General features: G+C 43.8%; 1 protein-coding gene across 9 annotated transcripts in view, besides 1 other annotated feature; it reads left to right on the top strand.

Moving 5' to 3' along the window:
- ROR2 (receptor tyrosine kinase like orphan receptor 2) overlaps positions 1-21,218 on the top strand; it is a 227,628-nt gene that overhangs the window by 152,651 nt on the left and 53,759 nt on the right. The window lies entirely within an intron of this gene.
- Positions 14,934-15,433: an enhancer, noted in NCBI's record as "H3K4me1 hESC enhancer chr9:94544427-94544926 (GRCh37/hg19 assembly coordinates)". NCBI's record gives its function as "activates a minimal SCP1, AML or CMV promoter by ChIP-STARR-seq in primed H9 embryonic stem cells {active_cell/tissue: H9 hESC(primed)}" and the evidence as "EXISTENCE:reporter gene assay evidence [ECO:0000049][PMID:30033119]".

The raw sequence follows: 21,218 nt of genomic DNA, 5'->3' as shown, positions 1-21,218 counted from the left end.
ACAGAATGCAGGGTGTCAGCCCCACCCACAGAGCCCAGGGTGTCATTCCCCACTAACAGACCCCATGGTGTCAACTCCACCCACTAGCCCAGGGTGTCAGCCTCGCCCACAGAGCCCAGTGTGTCATTCCCCACCCACAGAGCCCAGGGTGTCAGCCCCACCCACAGAGCCCAGGGTGTCAGCCCTATCCACAGATCCCAGGGTGTCAGCCCCACCCACAGAGCCCAGGGTGTCAGCCCCACCCACAGATCCCAGGGTGTCATTCCCCACCCACAGAGCCCAGGGTGTCAGCCCTGCCCACAGAATGCAGGGTGTCAGCCCCACCCACAGAGCCCAGGGTGTCATTCCCCACTAACAGACCCCATGGTGTCAACTCTACCCACTAGCCCAGGGTGTCAGCCTCTCCCACAAAGCCCAGTGTGTCATTCCCCACCCACAGAGCCCAGGGTGTCAGCCCCACCCACAGAGCCCAGGGTGTCAGCCCTATCCACAGATCCCAGGGTGTCAGCCCCGCCCACAGAGCCAGGGTGTCAGCCCCATCCACAGATCCCAGGGTGTCAGCCCCGCCCACAGAGCCCAGGGTGTCAGCCCCACCCACAGAGCCCAGGGTGTCAGCCCTATCCACAGATCCCAGGGTGTCAGCCCCGCCCACAGAGCCAGGGTGTCAGCCCCATCCACAGATCCCAGGGTGTCAGCCCCGCCCACAGAGCCAGGGTGTCAGCCCCACCCACAGAGCCCAGGGTGTCAGCCCCACCCACAGATCCCAGGGTGTCATTCCCCACCCACAGAGCCCAGGGTGTCAGCCCTGCCCACAGAATGCAGGGTGTCAGCCCCGCCCACAGAGCCCAGGGTGTCAGCCCCACCTACTAGTCCCAGTGTATCAGCCCCATCTACTAGCCCAGACTGTCAGGCCCACCTACTGAATCCAGGATGTCAACCCCTCCCACTGAGCCCAGGGCGTCAGCGTCCCACCCAGGTACCCAGGCATAGCTTAGTCACACTGGAACCTCAAATAGACATTATCACAACTACTCCAGAAGACAGATCTGGGAAGACACAAAAATTGTAGAGTGAAGATGTGCCATGAGAATTTGGAAAGAAAAGGTAAAACATGTGAAAATGTTTTTTTTTTTTTTTTTTTCCTTGGGACAAGGTCTCACTCTGTTGCCCAGGCTGCAGTGCAGTATTGCCATCTCGGCTCACTGCAGCCTTGACCTCCCAGACTCAAGCAGTCCTCCCACTTCAGCCTCCAGAGTAGCTGAGATTACTGGCGTGCGTCACCATGCCCAGCTAATTTTTGTAGAGATGAGGTTTTGCCATGTTGCCCAAGCTGGTCTCAAACTCCTGAGCTCAAGCATTCCACCTGCCTCAGCCTCTCAAAGTGCTGGGATTACAGGCATGATTCACTGTGCCTGGCCAAAAGTGTTCTTTAGAAGCATACAGATCTTCCCTGGGGAACGTGTTCAGTCTCAAGTGAGCCCTGCACCGATGCCCAGGCCCTCTGACCCTTGAGGTTTTGCTCTGGTTTTCTTCAGGCGCCAACTCCTCCAGCCTGGGGATCTTTGCCTGGGAGTGCCACCAGCACTTGTTCTTTTCATGGTCTCATCTTCCAAGTCACTTAACACTGTGAGGATGGCATCACCGGGAGCCTCTGAGTCAGGGGTCATGGGTGTGAGTGTGCACGTGTTTCCTAGGCTGTCCCACCTGTATGTACATTCATGCTTATTTTTGCCATAACAGAGGTTCCTGTGTGCTATTTGGTTGTTCAGACAAAAGTGCTTTAAAATACCAAGCTGAGAGTTTCCCTTTAGCCTGGAGAAACAGGAGGCACATCACCCAGTGGTAATTACCCATGACATGATGCCATGATTGATTAGTTTAGGGCTTCTGGCTGTGAAAATAAAAAGGCCTCAAGGAAAAGCTCGGAAACAACCATGATTTATGAGTTTATGAGTCTCAATTAGGGAAAACAATGTATTGAAAAATGTTCTTTTTTATAGGGGCGTGGGAAGTAAGCAGTGTCTGGTGATATGATTGCTAACTTAATTCATTCAATAAATTCTTTTAAAAGGAGAAAGCTTAGAAGTGACTAATCCATTAGTTTAAAGAAAAAATTCATAGTTGGCAATTACATGTATTTTTATGATAATCACAAACAGTAGTTTAAACTGCTTAAGTATATTCAACATCAGTGCCACAATACAGTCACCATAAAATATACATTTCTGTCCTCATTCCAAAATTCTCGTTCTTCTTATTGTAGAAATCAGACATCAGCTAATGGCACTGAATATGTAAAGACGGTGGATGGAAGATATTCAGAAAACAGAATGTAAAGACTCTGTCTCATATTAGAAATGCATGGGGCGATTAGAGGCAGAGAAATCTAAATGCAGCTACATATAGTTTCATGCAGTTGATATTTTGTTATATAATGCATTACTTTTTTTTTTTTCTATTGAGATGGAGTCTTGCTATGTTGCCCAGGCTGGAGTGCAGTGGCACAGTCTTGGCTCACTGCAACCTCCACCTCCTGAGTTTAAGCAAGCCTCCTCAACCTCCGGAGTAGCTGGGATTACAGGCGCCTGCCACCACACCCAGCTAATCTTTGTATTTTTAGTAGAGACTGGGTTTCACTATGTTGCCCAGGCTGGTCTCGAAGTCTTGACCTCAAGTCATCTGCCTGCCTTGGCCTCCGAAAGTGCTGGGATTACAGGTATGAGCCACTGCGCCTGGCCTATAATACATTAATATTTAAAAATTTTTAGAGAACTAGAGAATCTCATTAAAATCAGAATTTCCAAGGTGAATTATTTTGTTTTACTTTTTTATTAGAAAAATTAAACTAGTTTTTTTTTTAATTGAAAAAGAAATGCCTAAGGAGAATCGCTTGAACCTGGGAGGCAGAGGTTGCAGTGAGCCAAGATCACGCCACTGCACTCCAGCCTGGGCCTGGGTGACAGAGACTCTGCCTCAAGAAAAAAGAGAAAGACAAAAAGAAATGCCTAAATGTGCTAAAATACTTAAGACAGCAGCTCACTGGGTTTCCCTCCCTAAAGCCTCTATGTGGATTTGTTTCTTCTGGGATTTCTGGTGACTGTAACAGGTCAAGCTGTGTGTGTCCAGGAATGGCAGGAAAGGGACACACTGTGGTTCTCACCTTGCTTTACTTACTGGTGAGTCTGCCGACTTTCTGCATCTCATGCACAGATTTACTTCAAGCTGCAAGCCCAGTGAAGTGTGACAATTAATTCAGTGGTGATGGGGTGACAGTAGAAACTTAGTGTTGTTTTGAGAGTTAAACAAAATAACTAAGGAGAAGTGGTTTAGCCAGTGCCCAGCACTCAAAACTTGTGAATATTGCTGTCCTTATTGTATTTTTATTATATCCACTGTTATCTATTTCATTTAACAATTGTGTGTCTATACTGTAATTCGTTAATGAATTTGGGCTTGATTGGTATTTGGATAGTCTCCCATCTTTTGCTGTGACAACCAGAGCTGGAACAAGCATCCTTATAGTTGCACCTCCAGATAGCCTGGAAGATAAATTCCTGGCTGTGGAACTGTGCATAGGCACATGGCTGGTTTTGGTAGAAGTCCTTATGGTGCAGCAGAGATTTTGAGGCATCGTTCACACCATGGACCAGGCTATAGGTATCCGACTCCCAGCCCTTCCATTGTCATGCATGAACTCTCTTTCCTATCCCAGTTTACCTCTGTTTAATTAGCACTGTAGTTTTGAATCTTTTCATATTTATTAGCTATTGCAATTTTATTTTTATGTAAACTCTTTGTGTCTTTTTTTTTTTTTTTGAAACGGAGTCTCACACTGTCGCCCGGGCTGGAGTGCAATGGCATGATCATGGCTTACTGCAACCTCCCCCTCCCAGGTTCAGGCAATTCTCCTGCCTCAGCCTCCTGAGTAGCTGGGATTACAGGCACCTGCCACCATGCCCGGCTAATTTTTTGTATTTTTAGTAGAGACAGAGTTTCACTATGTTGGCCAGGCTGGCCTTGGACTCCTGACCTCATGATCCACCCGCACCAGCCTCCCAAAGTGCTTTTGGTTTTCTATAGTCTTTTTTCTCATTAATGAACAGAGCTGTTCACTCATGGTTTTGTATTATATGCTTAAGTCTGTGATCATTTGGAATTTACTTTTTATGAAGAAGGAGATAGGACTTCAGCTTTTTTTTTTCTCAAATAACTGTCCTGTTCCAGTGATTTATGGATTCATCCTTCATCTTCCCATTTAGTTGAAAAATTGCCTTATTAATAATCTTTGTTTTCATACATATTTGGATCATTTCTCTATTCTCAAATTCCATCCTATTGATCTGTCAATCCATGTGTTAGACTTCATGGAGTAATAGACATTACTCCAAGGAAGATGTGCTTGTCTGTTTGCATTTTCTTGGACTTTCGTGTCTATATTCATTAGAGATACTGATGTATAGTTTTGTTTCCTTCGATGTTTTTGTCTGGTTTGGTATTAGGGTAATACTGACCTCATAGAATAAGTTGGAAAGTATCCCCTCTTCTTCTAGGAAGAGACTATGAAGGATTGACCTTAACTCTTCTCTAAACATTTGATAGAATTCACGAGGAAAGCCTTTTAGTCCTTTGTGTTCCTTTCTGGGAAGGGTTTTTTGGTTTTGTTTCATTTTGTTTTGTTTTTGTTTTTAATAAATTCAACCTCTTTACTTAATAGAGATCTATATAGATTTTCTGTGTCTTCATGAGTCAGTTTAGTGGTTTTCATTTCTGTAGGAATTTGTCCATTTCCTCTAGGTTATCTAATTTGTTGGGACACAATTGTTCTTAATATTCCTTTATAGTCCTTTTTATTTCTGAAGGTCAACGTAATCCCTGCCTTTCATTCTTAATATTCTTAATATTAATAATTTGAGTCTTCTCTTGGTCAGTCTAGCTAAAGTTTGCCAGTATCTTTTCAAAGAACCAGGCCTTGGCTGGGCGCATGGCTCATGCCTGTAATCCCAGCACTTTGGGAGGCCAAGGTGGGCGGATCACAAGGTCAGGAGATCGAGACCATCTTGGCTAACACGGTGAAACCCAGTGTCTACTAAAAGTACAAAAAATTAGCTGGGCGTGGTGGCGGGCGCCTGTAGTCCCAGCTACTCAGGAGGCTGAGGCAGGAGAATGGTGTGAACCCGGGAGGCGGGAGCTTGCAGTGAGCTGAGATTGCACTACTGCACTCCAACCTGGGCGACAGAGCGAGACTCCGTCTCAAAAAAAAAAAAAAAAAAAATAGAACCAACTTTTGGTCTCGATTTTTCTCTGTTGTTTTGCTGATTTCTATTTTATTTATCTCCCTTCAAATCTTTGTTATTTCCTTCCTTCTGCTAGCTTTAGGTTTAGTTTGTTCTTCCTTCTCTAATTCCTTAAGGTGTAAAGTTAGGCTGTTGATTTAAAATCTTCTAAAAAGTAGACTGAAAATTTAGAGCTGTAAATTTTTCTCTGCTTTAGCTGTGCCCCTTAAATTTTATGTTGTGTTTCATTTCTGTTCATCCCAAAGTATTTTCTAATTTTTGTGTGTGATTTCTTCTGTGCCTTGTTGGTTATTTAAGAATGTTTTGTTTAGTTTTCGTATATTTGTGAATTTCCTAAATTTTCTTCTGCTGATTTCTAATTTCATTCCATTGTGGTTAAACATACTTTTTGATTTTTAATCTTTTTAAATGTATTAAAGGTTATGTATTAAATGTATTAAAGGTTATGTATTAAATGTATTAAAGGCCTAGTATCTTGGAGAATGTTTTATGTGCACTTAGGAAAAACATACATTCTGCACTTGGGTCGAGTGTTCTGTTCGTGTTGTATCTAGTTGGTTTATAATGTTGTTCAAGTCTTCTATTTTCTTACTGATATATTGTCTAGTTCTTCTGTTATCGAAAGTGGAGTGTTGACATCTCCAGTTATTGTTGAATTATCTATGTCTCCTTTTATTTCTGTAAGTTTCTGCTTCACATATTGTGGGTCTCTGTTGTTAAGTTCATATACATTTATAATAGATTGATGGGTTGACCCTCTTAGCAGTATAAAATGTCCTTCTTTGTTTCTAGTAATGATTTTTGCCTTATACGATCATGCATCTCTTAGTGGTAGGAAACATTCTGAAAAAATATGTCACCAGGCTATTTTGTCATTGTGTGAGCATCATAGAGTGTATTTACACAAACCTAGAAGGTTTAGCCTACTATACCCCTCAGCTATATGGTAGAGCTTATTGCTTCAAGGCTATTAACCTGTACAGCATGTTACTGGACTGAATATTATAGGCAATTATAACACAGTGGTATTCGTGTATCTAAATATAGAAAAAGTACAGTAAAAATATAGTATAAAAGATTTCAATGCACCATCTGCATAGGGCACTTACCACGAATGGAGCTTGCAGGACTGGAAGTTGCTCTGGGTGAATCAGTGAGTGAGTCGTGAGTGAATGTGAAGGCTTAGGGCATTACTGTACACTGCTGTCGATTTTATAAACACTGGACACTTAGGCTAGACTGTTTATAAAAATATTTATTTCTTCAATAATAAATTAACCTTAGCTTAAGGTAACCTTTTTACTATATAAATTTTTTAAACTTTCTGTTGTAAAAACACTTAAAGCACTAACACATGCACAGCTGTATAAAGATATTTCTTCTTTATGTTTTTATTCTAGAAGCTTTCTTATTTTCAGTTTTTTAAAACTAAAAACGAAGGCACAAACACACACATTAGCCTAGGCCAACACAAGGTCCATACCATCCATATCACTGTCGTCCACCTCCACATCTTGTCCCACTGCAGGGTCTCAAGGACAGTAGCACACATGGAGCTGTCAACTCCTGTGATAATAATGCCTTCTCCTGGATACCTCCTGAGGGACCTGCCTGGGGCTGTTTAACAGTTGAAAGTAGGAGTACACTGTAAAATGATGATAGAAAGTATAGTATAGTAAGTACATAAACCAACAACATAGTCCTTTATTGTCATTATCAAGTATTATGTACTGGACATAATTTTATGTGCTGTACTTTTTTTTTTTTTTTTAATTGAGACGGAGTCTCGCTCTGTCACCAGGCTGGAGTGCAGTGGCGCGATCTTGGCTCACTGCAGTCTCCTTCTCCCAGGTTCAAGCGATTATTCTGCCTCAGCCTCCCGAGTAGCTGGGATTACAGGCTTTCGCCACCACACCCAGCTAATTTTTGTATTTTTTTTTTTTTCAGTAGAGATGGGGGTTTCATCATGTTGGCCAGGATGGTCTTGATCTCCTGACCTTGTGATCTGCCCTCCTCGGCCTCCCAAAGTGCTGGGATTACAGACATGAGCCACTGTGCCCGGCCTGTGCTGTACTTTTATATGACTGGTAGAGCAGTGGGTTTGCTTAGACAGCATCACTATAAGCCTGTGAGTAATGCATCACACTACAATGTAACTAGGTGATAAGAATTTTCCAGCTCCATTGTAATCTTATGGGACCACTGTTTTATATGTGGTTCTTAGTTATGGAGCACATGACTGTAGATTATTTTGTCTGATACTAGTGTAGCCACTCCAGATTTCTCATGGTGGTTGTTTTATGATACATCTTTTAAACCTATTTGTGTTTTTGAATTCGAAGTGTGTTGCTTGTAGGCAGCCTATGTTTGGGTAGTGTTTTTTTTAAATCCATTCTGCCAGTCTTGGTGTTTTGATTTGCCTTTTTTACCCACTTACATTTAACTTACTTACCAATATGGTACGCTTTACTTCTACCATTTTGCTACTTGTTTTCTGCATGTCATAATTGTGTCTTTTTTATTTCTCTATTTCTGCCCTTGTTTGCATTAGATAGTTCTTAATATACTTTTAAAATTCCCTTATTATTTGTTTATATATATTTGATGGGGTTATTTTCTTAGTGACTTCATCTTAAATTTTTTAAAATCTAGTTTGGATTAGTACTAACTTAATTTTGGTAGCATACAAAAATTTTCCTGCAAAATATCTTGCTTCCCTTCCCTCTCTTTTGAACTATTAGTGTCATAGACTTTATATCTGATGTGCTATTAGTCCATCAGCACGGTCTTACAATTGGGGCTTAATGCAGTAGTCTTTTAAAACAAGTAAATGAATAAAAGAATTACAAAAAAACATGTTTATACTGTCTTTCACAGTACCTACTTAGTTACCTTTACTAGTACTCTTTTATTTATCTCTTCATGTGAATAAAATTCCTATCCAGTGTTCTTTTATTTCATCTTGAAGGACTCTTGACTATTTCTTATAGGGTAGTCTGCTAATGATAGATTTTCTCATTTTTTAAATTTAATTTTTATGTAAAATTGATGCAATAATTCTGTATTTTTATGAGGCACAGTCTGATATTTCAGTGCATGTATGCATTGTATAATAATCAAATTGGGGTAAGTACCATGTCCATCACTTTAAACATTTATTATTTCATTGTGGTAACAACATTAAAAAACTTCTCTTCTAGCTATCGTGAAGTATACATTACATTGTTACTCACCAGAACTCACTCTTTGTAACTGTAACTTTGAACCCATTGACCGACCTCCCCCAATCCTTTCTTCTCCTTCCCCTACCCACCCTTTAGTGGCCACTATTCTACTCTCTACTTCTATGATCAACCTTTTTAAATTGTCCTTCATTTCTGAAGAAGAGTTTGGCTGGATATTGATTTTTTTTTTTTTTTTTTTGAGACAGAGTCTCGCTCTGTCACCCAGGCTGGAGTGCGGCACCATCTCAGCTCACTGCAACCTCCGCCTCCCAGGTTCAAGCGATTCTCCACCTCAGCCTCCTGAGTAGCTGGGATTACAGGTGCCCGCCACCACGCTTGACTAATTTTTGTATTTTTAGTAGAGAGGGGGTTTCACCATGTTGGCCAGGCTGGTCTTGAACTCCTGATCTCAGGTGATCTGCCCACCTCGGCCTCCCGAAGTGCTGGGATTACAGGAGTGAGCCACCACGCCTGGCCTGCATATTGAATTCTTGATTGAAAAATCTTTTTTTTTTTTTCCCCAACACTATGATTGTGTTGTCCCCCTGGGTTCTGATGAGAAGCCAGCTTTTAACATTATTGAAGATCCCTTTTATGAGATAAACCGCTTCTCCTGCTGCTTTCAAGATTCTGTCTTTCAACAGTCTATGATGTGCCTGGTCGTGGATATCTTAGAGTTTATCCAACTTGGAGTTCTTTGAGTTTCTCAAATGTGTAAATTAATACTTTTATCAAACTTGGTGAGTTTTCAGTTATGTTTTCTTCAAGTATTTTTTTCTCCTTCTTTCTCTTCTCTTACTGGACTCCTATTATGTATGTGTTGGTATTCTTGATAGTGCCCTATGGGTCTCTTAGGCTCTGTTCATTTTTCTTCATTCTGTTTTCTTTGCAGACTAGATAATCTCTATTGACCTGCCTTCCAGTTCACTGATTCTTTCTTCTGCCTGCTCAAATCTGTTGTTGAGTCTGTCTAGTGAATTTCACTTATGGCACTTTCAACTCCAGAATTTCTGTTTGATGCTTTTAATCACCTTATTACTATTCTCTATTCAGGAAGATAAAGTTATTGTAATTTAAAATTCTTCACATATCCTTTTCTTTATTTTTTTGAACATATTTATAACATCCTATTTAAAGTCTTTGTTGTATGGCTGGTTAGCTCAGTTGGTTAGCATGTGGTGCTGATAAAGTGTTTGTCTGTTAAGTCCCAAATCTTGGCCTCTTAGGGACATTTTCTGTTGGCCACTTTCTCCCCCCCATTCTGTGCATGTGACATACTTTCTTGTTTCCTGGCATGTCTTGTGATTCTCTGTTAAAAATTGGACAATTCAGGTAGCAAATCACCATACCCTTCAAAGTTTGTTGTTGATGCTGTGTTTTTTCTTTTTGTTTTTTATTTGATGGTTGATGGTGTTTGCCTCGTTACTGTTAGTTTAGCAGCTTTCCTTGACTAGTTCTCTGGTTTATGTATTTCCTGTAATGTGTGACCACTGAGTTATCTGCTAATTTTTAAATAAATAAATAAAAAGAAAGATTTTATTTATTTATTTATTTTGAGACAGAGTCTTGTTCCGTCTCCCAGGCTGAAGTGCAGTGGCCTGATCTCTGCTCACTGCAGCCTCCAGGGTTCAAGTGATTCTCCTGCCTCAGCCTCCTGAGTAGCTGGGATTACAGGCACCCACCACCACTCATGGCTAATTTTTGTATTTTTGGTAGAGATGGGGTTTCAGCATATTATGCAGGCTGGTCTTGAACTCCTGACCTCAAGTGATCCACCCACCTCAGCCTCCCAAAGTGCTGGGATTACAGGCGTGAGCCACCACACCCAGCCTCTTTTTATTTTTAAACCCTGGATTCTGTGGGGTCACATCTGAGCCAGTATAATTGTATATAATTAGCCAGTCACTGTTCACATTTCCTTTCCATACATGCCTTGCCTGTGTTTCTGACACCTTTCATCAAAGATCTGTATGAGACGGAGATGACATGCTGTCCAGCTTCAGGGAGTTTGTAAAGACGGCTTCAGCTTTCATTTCCGGATTGCACAGGGTCTCATTGTCACCCAGAGAGGAGTGACTGTGGTGTCCTCTCCTGTCCCAGGTCTTTTCTGAGCATGCATACAACCTCTTCCCTTCCCCGGGAGTGTGTCAGAGCTTTTGAAGTTCCGTAGCTCCTCTAATTCTTTAGGATTTCATTTTAAATTCAGGGTCAGGCTCATGTTGACTGCAGTTATAGTCAGCTCTAGGCAGCTGAGGTTGCCAGCAGTTTGCTGTTGTTTTCATAATGCCCCAGGGGTATCTGCCATCTGCCACCTTCCCTACCCCTCCGCCCCCAGCTGAGTTCTGAGGCGAATCTAGAGATTTCCCAGAGTGCTGCAAGTCCAGACAAAATGTTGACTCTGTTATGGGGCCAGTACTTTTCACAGAGCTCCACAAGTGGAGTCTCTCACTGTTTGCGAGGTTGGTGGCCTTGGCTACTTCACCATTGAGCTGGGGAGGGAGGGGCAGTGGGAGTAGCCCAGGTTAACTGGTCACAGACCCACCTTCTTATCAAGGTTCAGCAGGTTCCCTTGAACAGACAATTTTCACCTCATATTTTTGTTGGTGTCAGCAGAGAGCAAGTTCATCCTAGATATCACTCTGCCACTCTGGAAGTGGATTCTCTAGTATATTGCCCATTTATTTATTTATTTATTTATTTATTTACTTATTGATTGATTGATTGATTGATTGATTGACAGAGTCTTGCTCTGTTGCCCAGACTGGAGTGCAGTGGCATGATCATGGCTCACTGCTGCCTCAACCTCCCAGGCTCAAGCGATCTTCTCACCTCAGTCTGTGGAGTGTCAGGGTTCACAAATGCACACCACCATACCTGGCTTTTTTTTTTTTTTTTTTTTTTGGTAGAAACAGGGTTTCCGTATGTTACCCAGGCTAGTCTTGAACTCCTAGGCTCAAGTGGTCCTCCCTAAGTGCTGGGGTTATAGGCATGAGCCACGGGTGCCAGCTATATTGCCTTTTGAGTCTGGCTTCTTTCACTTAGTGAAATGTATTGGAGACACTTCTGTCGTGTGTATGTTGTATCAGTTGGCTCTTTCTATGGTTGAGTAGTGTATGGTAGAGTTTTAAAGTTATGGGAGTTTCTTTGGAGTTGTAAAGATATATATGCACATGTAAAAGGGGATGTTGTCAGAGAGATTGTGGAACCTTGGGCCTGCCACAGTTCCTGGAGAATTTCGGGGCATTTCAGGTTCAAAGCCAGTGGAGCAGGTCAGTGCTCTCCAGTGTTGTGGAGGAACAGGAGCCCATGCCCTGCAGCAGATCTCAAGGGCCACAGAGCCGTGTCGCAGGGGCTCTGAACTGTGACACTGTCATTGGCCTCTGGTGTAGCAGGCACCACCCCACATCTGGAGCAGATATGAGTCCTGGCCCCAGCCTTCAGACAGTGAGCCAAAACTCAGAGACTCCTCGTGCAAAATGAACATGATGGTGGTCACCAAAGTATTTGTTTACTCATCAGATATTTTTCGAGTGCCTAGTGCATCTTGGGCTCTATTCCAGGGGTGGGACAGACCACCATCACCTAGACTCTGGAGTTTCATTCTGATGCAAAGACAGATGGTGAACCAGATGCATGTGTGCACACACAGTGCTCTGGAAAGAAATACAGCAAGGAAGACAGCAGTCTGAGAGTAGGGCTAAGTAGGCTTCAGGTTGTCCAGGGGAGGCCTTGTGTAGGAACTCACATTGAAACAGGGGCCTGAAACAACGTGAGGGGTGAACCATATGCACAGGGACCCTGAAACAAGTGAGGCGTCGAACCACATGCACATATGGGGAAGCATTTTCCAGGCAGAGGAAAGAATAAATGCAAACTGCAGGGGAGCAGCTGGAATTGGAGCTAAGGGAGGGAGAGATGAGGAGTGGAGGCCACCCCAGGAGCAAACTCTGTGTGTGTGTGTGTATACGTGTGTGTACCCATGTCCATGTGTGTAGGGCTAGTGAAGGGAGCTAGCTTTTCCTCTGAGCAAGTGGGAAGATGCTGGAAAGTACTGAGTACAGGAGCATTCATTCATTCATTCATTCATCCACCTAATGAGCAACTTGCATGCTGCTCTTCAGGTGCTGGGGCTGGCAGTGAGCACACAGATAGAATCTCCTGGCCCCATGAAGGCGAGACAGAAAAATAAACAGCCAGTTACCTCATGGAAGACATTAAGGGAAAAGTTAAACAGAAAAGCAAGTTGGGAGTGGTTAGGTTAGGACTTTGTGTGTACATGTGGAGGGAAGTATTTGACATTTTGAGTAGGGCCAGGGAGGGCCTTGCTCAAGGATGTAGTGTTGTATGAGAAAGATTTTTAAAAATTCGGTAAACTTTGTAAATGTAATTTACGTCTACAAAAGTACATAAATTGCCAGTGTATAGTTTGATGAATGTTAACGTGGTATATACACCCACTAACAGCAGCCACACCAGCAACTCCCAGCAACCTGCTCCCACCCAGGCATTGAAGCCAACTGTGTTCTGACTGCCATCACCACGGATGACGTCTGCCTGCCTTTGAACTTAGTGTGAGTGGAACTGCACAGCACGCATCTTTGTATCTGGCTTCCTGCACCCCACCTGATGCATCTGAACTTCACCCATGTTTTGTAGGTGACAGGATTTGAAGCCCCTTTGAGAGGCTTCCTGTGGCTGCTGCATGGAGAGCAGGTGGGGGCCAGGGGGTGCTGCAGTCGCCCACAGCATGTTAGCAGGGCAGGTCCTGATACATTCTGCAGATAGAGCAAACAGCATTTCGTGATGGATTGGGTGTGGGATTTGAGAGGAAAGGAGTCAAGACGAACTCCAGCCTTGTGGCCTTAGCTGGGAGCAGGGTGGAATCAGCACTGTTGCAGCTGGGCAGCTCCGCAGGGCACAGGTGTGTAACGGGAGGCCGGGCTGTGGTGTGGACAGGTCAAGCATGGTGTCTCCTGGACATGCAAGTGGAGGTGTGAGCAGGTGGCGGGATTTCTGAGTTGGCTTTCAGGGGAGCGGTCTGGCCTGGACAGGTGGTTTGGGAGTTGTAGGTGTTCTGGTGTTATTTAAAGCAAGCCCTCAAGGAGTCAGGATGGAAAGAGAGGGAAAGCTTTTCCATTCAGAGGACTGGGGAGGAGGACAGACTTACAAGCGGGTGGAGGCAGGAAAAGATCCAGACGTGGGCAGTGGAGTGGGGAGGTTGTGAGCACGATGTGCGTGGAATGGGGGCTGTGTGAATGCTGAATAGGGTCGTTACCCACAGCAGTCAGGCTGCAGAAGGCCAACTCCACCTCCATCCCTGGTGTGCCCTCCAGGCTCGCAGAGCCGTGGAGTGGCATTGGTGTAAATATTATGAGAAAAAGAAATGTCAGCCAAGGAGGTAAGAGCTGAAAAGCTCATTTGGGCACAAGACTAGGCCTAGGGCGGGGCTGCAGCTGCAGCTGAAACCCTGGAGGGGTGAAGTGGGAGGACTGCCGGTCTCAGCAGATGGCTGTGAGGGTTGGAGGTGGCTTCCATATAAGTGAGAGTTGGCCTCAGAAGGGAGGGGTTTGGGGCACTAGAGTCACTAACAAGTTGGCAGTTCCTGGGCATGCGAGCAGTCCCAGCACACCTGTACTTAGCCCAGAGAGCCTATCCATCCCTTCTCAGCGAGGCACTCACTGTGAGGCTGAGCCTTGCCATTGTGTGTGTCATTCTCAAGTCAGCACTAAGTTTTGAAGACAAATAATGCTTTCCCTTATGGGTTGAATTGTGTCCCTGAAAATAGAAACACAGGAGTCCTAGTCCTCTGTGTCTCAGAATGTGCCCTTATTTGGAGATCGGGTTTTTACACAGGTAATTAAGGTAAAAGGAGGTCATCAGGGCTCTCATCCTATGGGACTGGTGACCTGTAGGAAGAGAGATTTGGACGGAAAGACGGTGTGCATGGAGGGACAATGAGGAGATGGAAGGAGAAGCCATGGTCTGCCAGCAAGGAGTGACCTGCAGCAGATCCTCTCTCCCAGCCGCAGAAGGAACCTGCCCTACTGACACCTTGATCCTGGCCTTCCAGCCTCCTGAACTGAGACAAGGCGTTTCCATTGTTTAGGCTGCCCCATCTGTGCGGCTTTGTTGTGGCTGCCTTAGGAAACCAACACAGAAGCTGCCTTAAAAAGAATCACTGCTACTTCCTGTGATCATAGCAGACATTTACCCCTGTTTGATTCCAAGACTCTGAAGCAAATTCTGGCTACCAGAGAATCTTCTGCTTTTGAACCCCCTCTGGGTTAGCCTCTGGCTACATGGCCTGGGACCTGGATTCCTGGTTGATGGAGGTGGAGCCTGCTCCAGACCTGGCCTTAACTTAAAGCAAGCTTGTCTAACCCGTGGCACATGCAGCCCAGGACGGCTTTGAATGCAGCCCAACACAACTTCTTTCTTAAAACATTATGAGGGTTTTTTTTTTTTTTTTTTTTTTGCTATCAGCTATCGTTAGTGTTAGTATATTTTACGTGTGGCCCAAGACAATTATTCTTCTTCCAGTGTGGCCCAGGGAAGCCAAAAGATTGGACACCCCTGAAAAGCCTTAAGCAAATGGAAGACATCTGCTTTTGCTGCCAAAGGATAATGCAGTTTCTTTTCTAATCAGGGTGTTTTTTTTTTCTTTTTTACATCCCTCCCTTTAATTAAAAACTTTCCAGAGATTCAAGGTGACAAAGTAACCTTTTGTATGCATGGGAGTAACTAATATTCAAGAGCTACTTCCTTGAAACTAGATGAAAAGATACAATAAACCTGGAGCCTTTACTTAGCATTTCTGTTTGCTCCTTTTCTGCTGGTTTTGGTGCAGAAACAAGCAGCCACTTAAGAGAAAGCAAGCCTCAGCTCCCTGTCACAGGGAGGGGACCTCACCTTCTCACTGTATCTGGTGGGGGTGGAGGTGCGGCATTTGGCCTCCCAGCCCGGCCAGGCTCACCGCTGCCAGGGCTGTGGATGCTGGGAAGAGAGAAGGTCTGTGAAAGGCCTCAATTCAGCTGCCTGAGTGGCCTCTCTCCCCCTTCACCTAAATATTCCTTTGGCCCCTGACAGTGGGCTTTTGTTGGGGGCTCTGGGGGCTGTCAGAGACAGAAAGTAGAAAGAGCTTTATGAAGGCAATATTGAAGGGAGTTGGGCTGGTACATTGACTCACTTGGAGGTTTAATACGTTTGCTTTAGAAGTGGAATCACAGCAAAGTTCAAATTGGTGAAACGGTTACTCCATTTTCAAGTTGATGAGTTTTAACTCCCTATTTCCAAAGTAGAGTTAAGCCAGCCCTTGAAGGAATATAAGAACAGAGGCTAGTATTTACTCAACTCAAAGTTAGAAATAATGAAAATAAAAAATTACAGACTGTTAAGACCACTACCAATTAGGTACTGGCAGCCCACCTGGAATGCTGTTTGGTTTTCTAGCTGCAATTGAAACACAGGGTGCAGTGTCTTAGTAAGAGCATTCCCCGAAACAGTCTCAAGGCTCTTTGCTATTGACATACTTCTCCTGACCCAGGTCCCAGACTAATAATGGCCTTACCCTTTCGGGACTTTATACGCTGCTCCTTCCCAATTTTTAACTTTTCTTCCTTAACTGTTGCCTTTCTAGCATCATGGGTGTTTTCGATCTGACGTGTTGCCGAGCTGAGTAGTTGTTGTGGAACACATGAGTGACATTTGCACGTGCAAGTGGGACAGTGGGTGCACAGAGCTTGCTCGCAGCGTAGCTCATTGTGAAATCTGTCCTTGCCATTCATTCAGGGGGTGTCTGGTTTGCAGCACCGTCACTTTCTCAGGCTGTGCTTTTTCCCTGCCGTGACTTCTGTTCTTAAACACATCCTGCAAATTATACCTTCACATGAGGACAACCAAATCCAAGAATGCCAAGCTCTGGTGAATAAAATACCCTTACTAATTAAAAAGAGGCTGCTTTGAAGTTGTCTGAACATCCTGAAGACTGCATCTAATTGCATCACAGTAAGCATACCGATTCAGATCAACAGGTGAAGAGATGAATGGATGAACAGTCTGAATAACAAAGCATGTTTAAAAGAAACGCAAATCAAAACCAGAATAGCACCATGGACTCAAATCCAAGGGCATAGGTGAAACTTCATTAATAAATGCTTGCTTAATGGTGTGACTGCTGTTAATGAGAGAATGATTGTGATACTAGAGGTAGAGCCTTGGAATCAGAACAGACGTGCTTGCTACTTTGCAGATATAAATTTATCTTTTTTTTGAGATGGAGTCTTGCTCTGTCACCCAGGCTGGAGTGCAATGGCACCATCTTGTCTCACTGCAACCTCCACCTCCCAGATTCAAGTGATTCTCCTGCCTCAGCCTCCCAAGTAGCTGGGATTACAGGCACCTGCCACCACGCCTGGCTAATTTTTGTATTTTTAGTACAGATGGGATTTCACCACGTTGGCCAGGCTGGTCTCAAACTCCTGACCTCAGGTGATCCACCCGAGGCCTCGACCTCCCAAAGTGCTGGGATTACAGGCATGAGCCACCACGCCAGCCCAATTAATCTTATCTTGTTGATGCCATAAATCAAGATGTCACATCAGAGGTCTGTGTTGAAAGAAGGTTTTCAGAAGAGTTTTGTTTGATGGTTATATAATTTCTTTCTTTCTTTCTTTCATTTTTTTTTTAGACGGAGTCTTGCTCTGTCGCCTAGGCTGGAGTAGTGTGGCGTGATCTCGGCTCACTGCAAGCTCCGCCTCCCAGCTTCACGCCATTCTCCTGCCTCAGCCTCCCGAGTAGCTGGGACTACAGGCTCCTGCCACCATGCCCGGCTAATTTTTTGTATTTTTAGTAGAGACGGGGTTTCACTGTGTTAGCCAGGATGGTCTCGTGATCCACCCGCCTTGGCCTCCCAAAGTGATGGGATTACAGGCGTGAGCCACTGTGCCTGGCCTGGTTATATAATTTCTAATTCTTCAGAATCTGCACCTCCAGCTATTGCAGGCCTGATGTGACTCTCTTAACAGCAACCGGGCATCATCCCTATCAACAGTGAACCCTTTCACTTTGGCCATTCTGTAGACACCAATTGGTTCAGCCTGGAATATACAAGACATTCATAAAGTGCTTCCAAGAATATGCTACAAATTCCTGCTTAAGAGCTGATGTCTCCATGCCAATGACAATTCCTGTAGGACTCAGCTGAAAAATCCAACATTTTCCAAAATGTTTTAATTTCTAAATATTTGCCAGCATGCTGTATAAATCATTGAATAACATATTAAATCCAGTGAATCTGTGTCAGATTCTGTTCATAGGGTTAGGGTGCATACTTGGCTTTGAGGCCATTTACCAGGGATTGCATCATTAAGAATGTAAAGTATTGGCCAGGCACGGTGGCACGGTGGCTCATGCCTGTAATCCTAGCACTTTGGGAGGCTGAGGTGGGTGGATCATTTAAGGTCAGGAGTTCGAGACCAGCCTGGCCAACATGGTGAAACACTACCTCTACTAAAAATACAAAAATTAGCCGGGCGTGGTGGTGGGCACCTGCAGTCCTAGCTACTTGGGAGGCGGAGGCAGGAGAATCGCTTGGACCCGGGAGGCAGAGGTTGCAGTGAGCTGAGATCCCACCACTGCACTCCAGCCTGGGCAACAAGAGCGAAACTCTGTCTCGAAAAAAAAAAAAAAAAAAGAAAAGTATAAGTGTTTGGAGGTAGAATGTTTTATGCAGTTCTACTTGTGAGCCTTGGTTTTAAGGGATTGAACAAGGTGATGGAAATGTGTAATTGTTCTTCAGTAAGCTTTTTACTTTAGTTTTAGATTTATAGAAAAGTTGTGATGACAGTACATAGAGCCCCCACACACCCCACACCCAGTTTCCCCTATTGTTAACACCTTACCTTGGCATGGTACATTTGCCCCATAATACGGGTGCATTATTCTTGACTAACGTTCACACTATTCATTTTCCCTTAGTTTTTACCTAATATCCCTTTTCTGTTCCAGGGTCCTGACCAGGATACCACATTATATTTAGTCTTTGCTTCTAGAGTGTCATGTGTGTTTTTGACATGGATAAAACTAGATATTGAATGTGTCATTTCATTATACCAGCCACACTTAAATTTTTGTTTCATATTAAATGTTTTCCTCTCTTTAAAAAGTATCAAAAAACTAAAAGAAGCTTATAAATCACTACTCCCCTACTCATCTACCCAAGGGTTGAGTTTCCCTCTGGCTTCACCTCGCCACTCTGTGATGTTTTTACAGTGAAAATGACCCAGGTCCAGCGGAGAAAAGTCAGGGCACTGTGCCTGTCATACGGATGACATTCTTGATGGTCATGTAGGGCACACTTAAGAGCATTTTACCCAAACGGAGGACGTGTGGGTTTGGCTAGAGTAGTGTCCTCATATTCAGGAGAAAAATATATTGAAGTCCTGAAGAGTCAGGACAGATGAATCTCCTCTCAGAATCTCTTTTCTGATGGTCCAGAAGGCCACGTGGCCTCTTCTCTTGCTCCTCCAGCTAAATCCAGGCAACTAACGAGGACAGGGACCTTGCCTGGTGAGCTCATCATCTAGCTGGGGTGCAAGGGTGCCTGCACCAGGTGAAAACCGAAAAGGCCTTTATGTAAAGAATGACTCAGGACAGGCACCGAGGAGATGTTGCAGGGCGCACGACCGTGATCATTCACCAGCCATATCGGGTTGGCAGTCACCACCAAGGCAAGTTGTGGTGTTGTGAGGTTGTCACAAAGTCATTCGGTCAGGAACGATGATAGCCCATTAGGTGCAGAAGCACGTGCTCAGTATGTGTACCCATTGCAACATCCGTTGTGGTGGCCCCTAAACTGGCCAAGTTGAAAGTGTTCCCTGATCCTGCGAGTCACCAGCCATTCCTCCCAGCTTGTGTGCAGCAGGAGTGAGGGCATGTGCAGGTCTCCTTACCAGGCCAGCCTGGCTGCTCCTAAATTGCCCCACCTTGGGAGCAGCAATCCTAGTAGCTCTGGCATTTTGGGGTAGTTCCTCCCTTTCATACTTCAGTCATCTCTGCGGCCTCATGTATGTTTTCCACATCCCCTTCTCCTTGTGGAGACAGACCCCCCGAGTCTGGGAAGTGGTCTGAGTGAGCCAAATTAATGGCCTTGTTTACTAATCCCGTGGTACAGCATGCTTTCTTCTTTTTTTTTCTTTTTGCTACTACAGGGCATGCATTTTGAAAAGTATAATTATAAAATTGATGCTTGTTTAGAATACTGCATATTATATGATTTCATTTATAGAAAATGTCCAGAATAGGTAAATCCATAGAGACAGCAGATTCGTGGTTACCAGGGGCTGAAGGAGACAGGATAGAGTTGGCGGGGGGATGACTGCTAATGGGAATGAGGTTTTTTGGGGAGATGATGAAATGTTCTGGAATTTCATAGTGGTGATCGTTGCACAACCTTGAGAATGTACTGAAAACCACTCAATTGCACACTTTAAAATGGTGAATTTTATAGTGTGTGAATTATGTCTCACACACCATTAAAAAATTGATACTTGTTCACAGTAGAGCCATTTAAATGGAAATAAAAGAAATTTAAATTACCTATAATTCCAGATAACTAATAATAACATTTTGATGATGATGATGATGATGATGGGGTGTGTGTGTGTGTGTGTGGCAGTTTTGTTGTTATTATTTCCATGTTTTGTTTATTTTGGAGGAAAGGTGGTATTCTTAGCTCTTTTTACGGGTTAGGAGAAACCCTATTGGGTTCTGCTGAAAACACTGAGCCCTGTTTTCACTTGTACCCATTCTACTAGTTCACATACTTCCTGTCACATTTTGCTTATTGACTTTAGAAGGCTGCAGTATCTGGAGTGAGCCCAAACTATGTAGTATAGGAAGATAACACTTTAAAATTTCGAAATATAAGTGGTGTCTTAGTTTCTCAGATTAGCAATAACAACCTAGTTTTGTTGAAACTTAAAGTGTCAGTTCTAAAGATCTCGTGATTGGACATGCTGAGTTTATTAACCACATTTGACTGGCAGAGGAAGTGAAATTTCCACACGTGAAAATGCCTCCATTTCTGAATTAGAAGCTGACTTGGGAAGAGCTAGGACTCTTTTCCACAGGGAAATTGGGCTAGTGAAGCTTATTTTTCTTTGGGGTATGTATTTATTTGAGTGTTTCAGACCATTTGTCAATTTCTAAGCAGTTAATAATTTTTGTCTCTTTTCGATGTGTGTATATAGTGCAAGTATGTTTGATTTCATGTGGTCTCTCTACATTTAAACAGTGCTGAGTGATGGTGTGTGTAATGTGCTGATGTAAAATTTCAAATCCAAACTGAAGTCTTTAATACTTCAGCAGAAGTCCATGGACTGCCTTGCATAGCTGATGTCAGCCTCTGTTATGTAGCAGGAGGTGCTTCTGTCTGGGTTTCCATGATGGGACCACTCGTCCTCCCCCAGGGGTGCAGCACCAGCTGTCCCCATGTGGTTTACCTATTGTTGAGGAAGAGTAAAATGCATGCAACTGTTAACCTGAGGAAGAATGGTAGGATTGCCCCGGGAGAGGTGTATGGTTTGCAGGGAGACTTAGAGAATAGAAACTTTTCTTCTAAATGGCTGGTCATGGACATTTTATGAAAGATGGCTCAGGGCTTGGCTTTTGGGGACGGGTAAATTTGGACTAGAAATGATAG

The sequence above is a fragment of the Homo sapiens genome, chromosome 9 (assembly GCF_000001405.40).
Source record: "Homo sapiens chromosome 9, GRCh38.p14 Primary Assembly".
In the NCBI taxonomy this organism is placed as follows: domain Eukaryota; kingdom Metazoa; phylum Chordata; class Mammalia; order Primates; family Hominidae; genus Homo; species Homo sapiens.
This window is presented reverse-complemented; position numbering and strand designations above follow the sequence as displayed.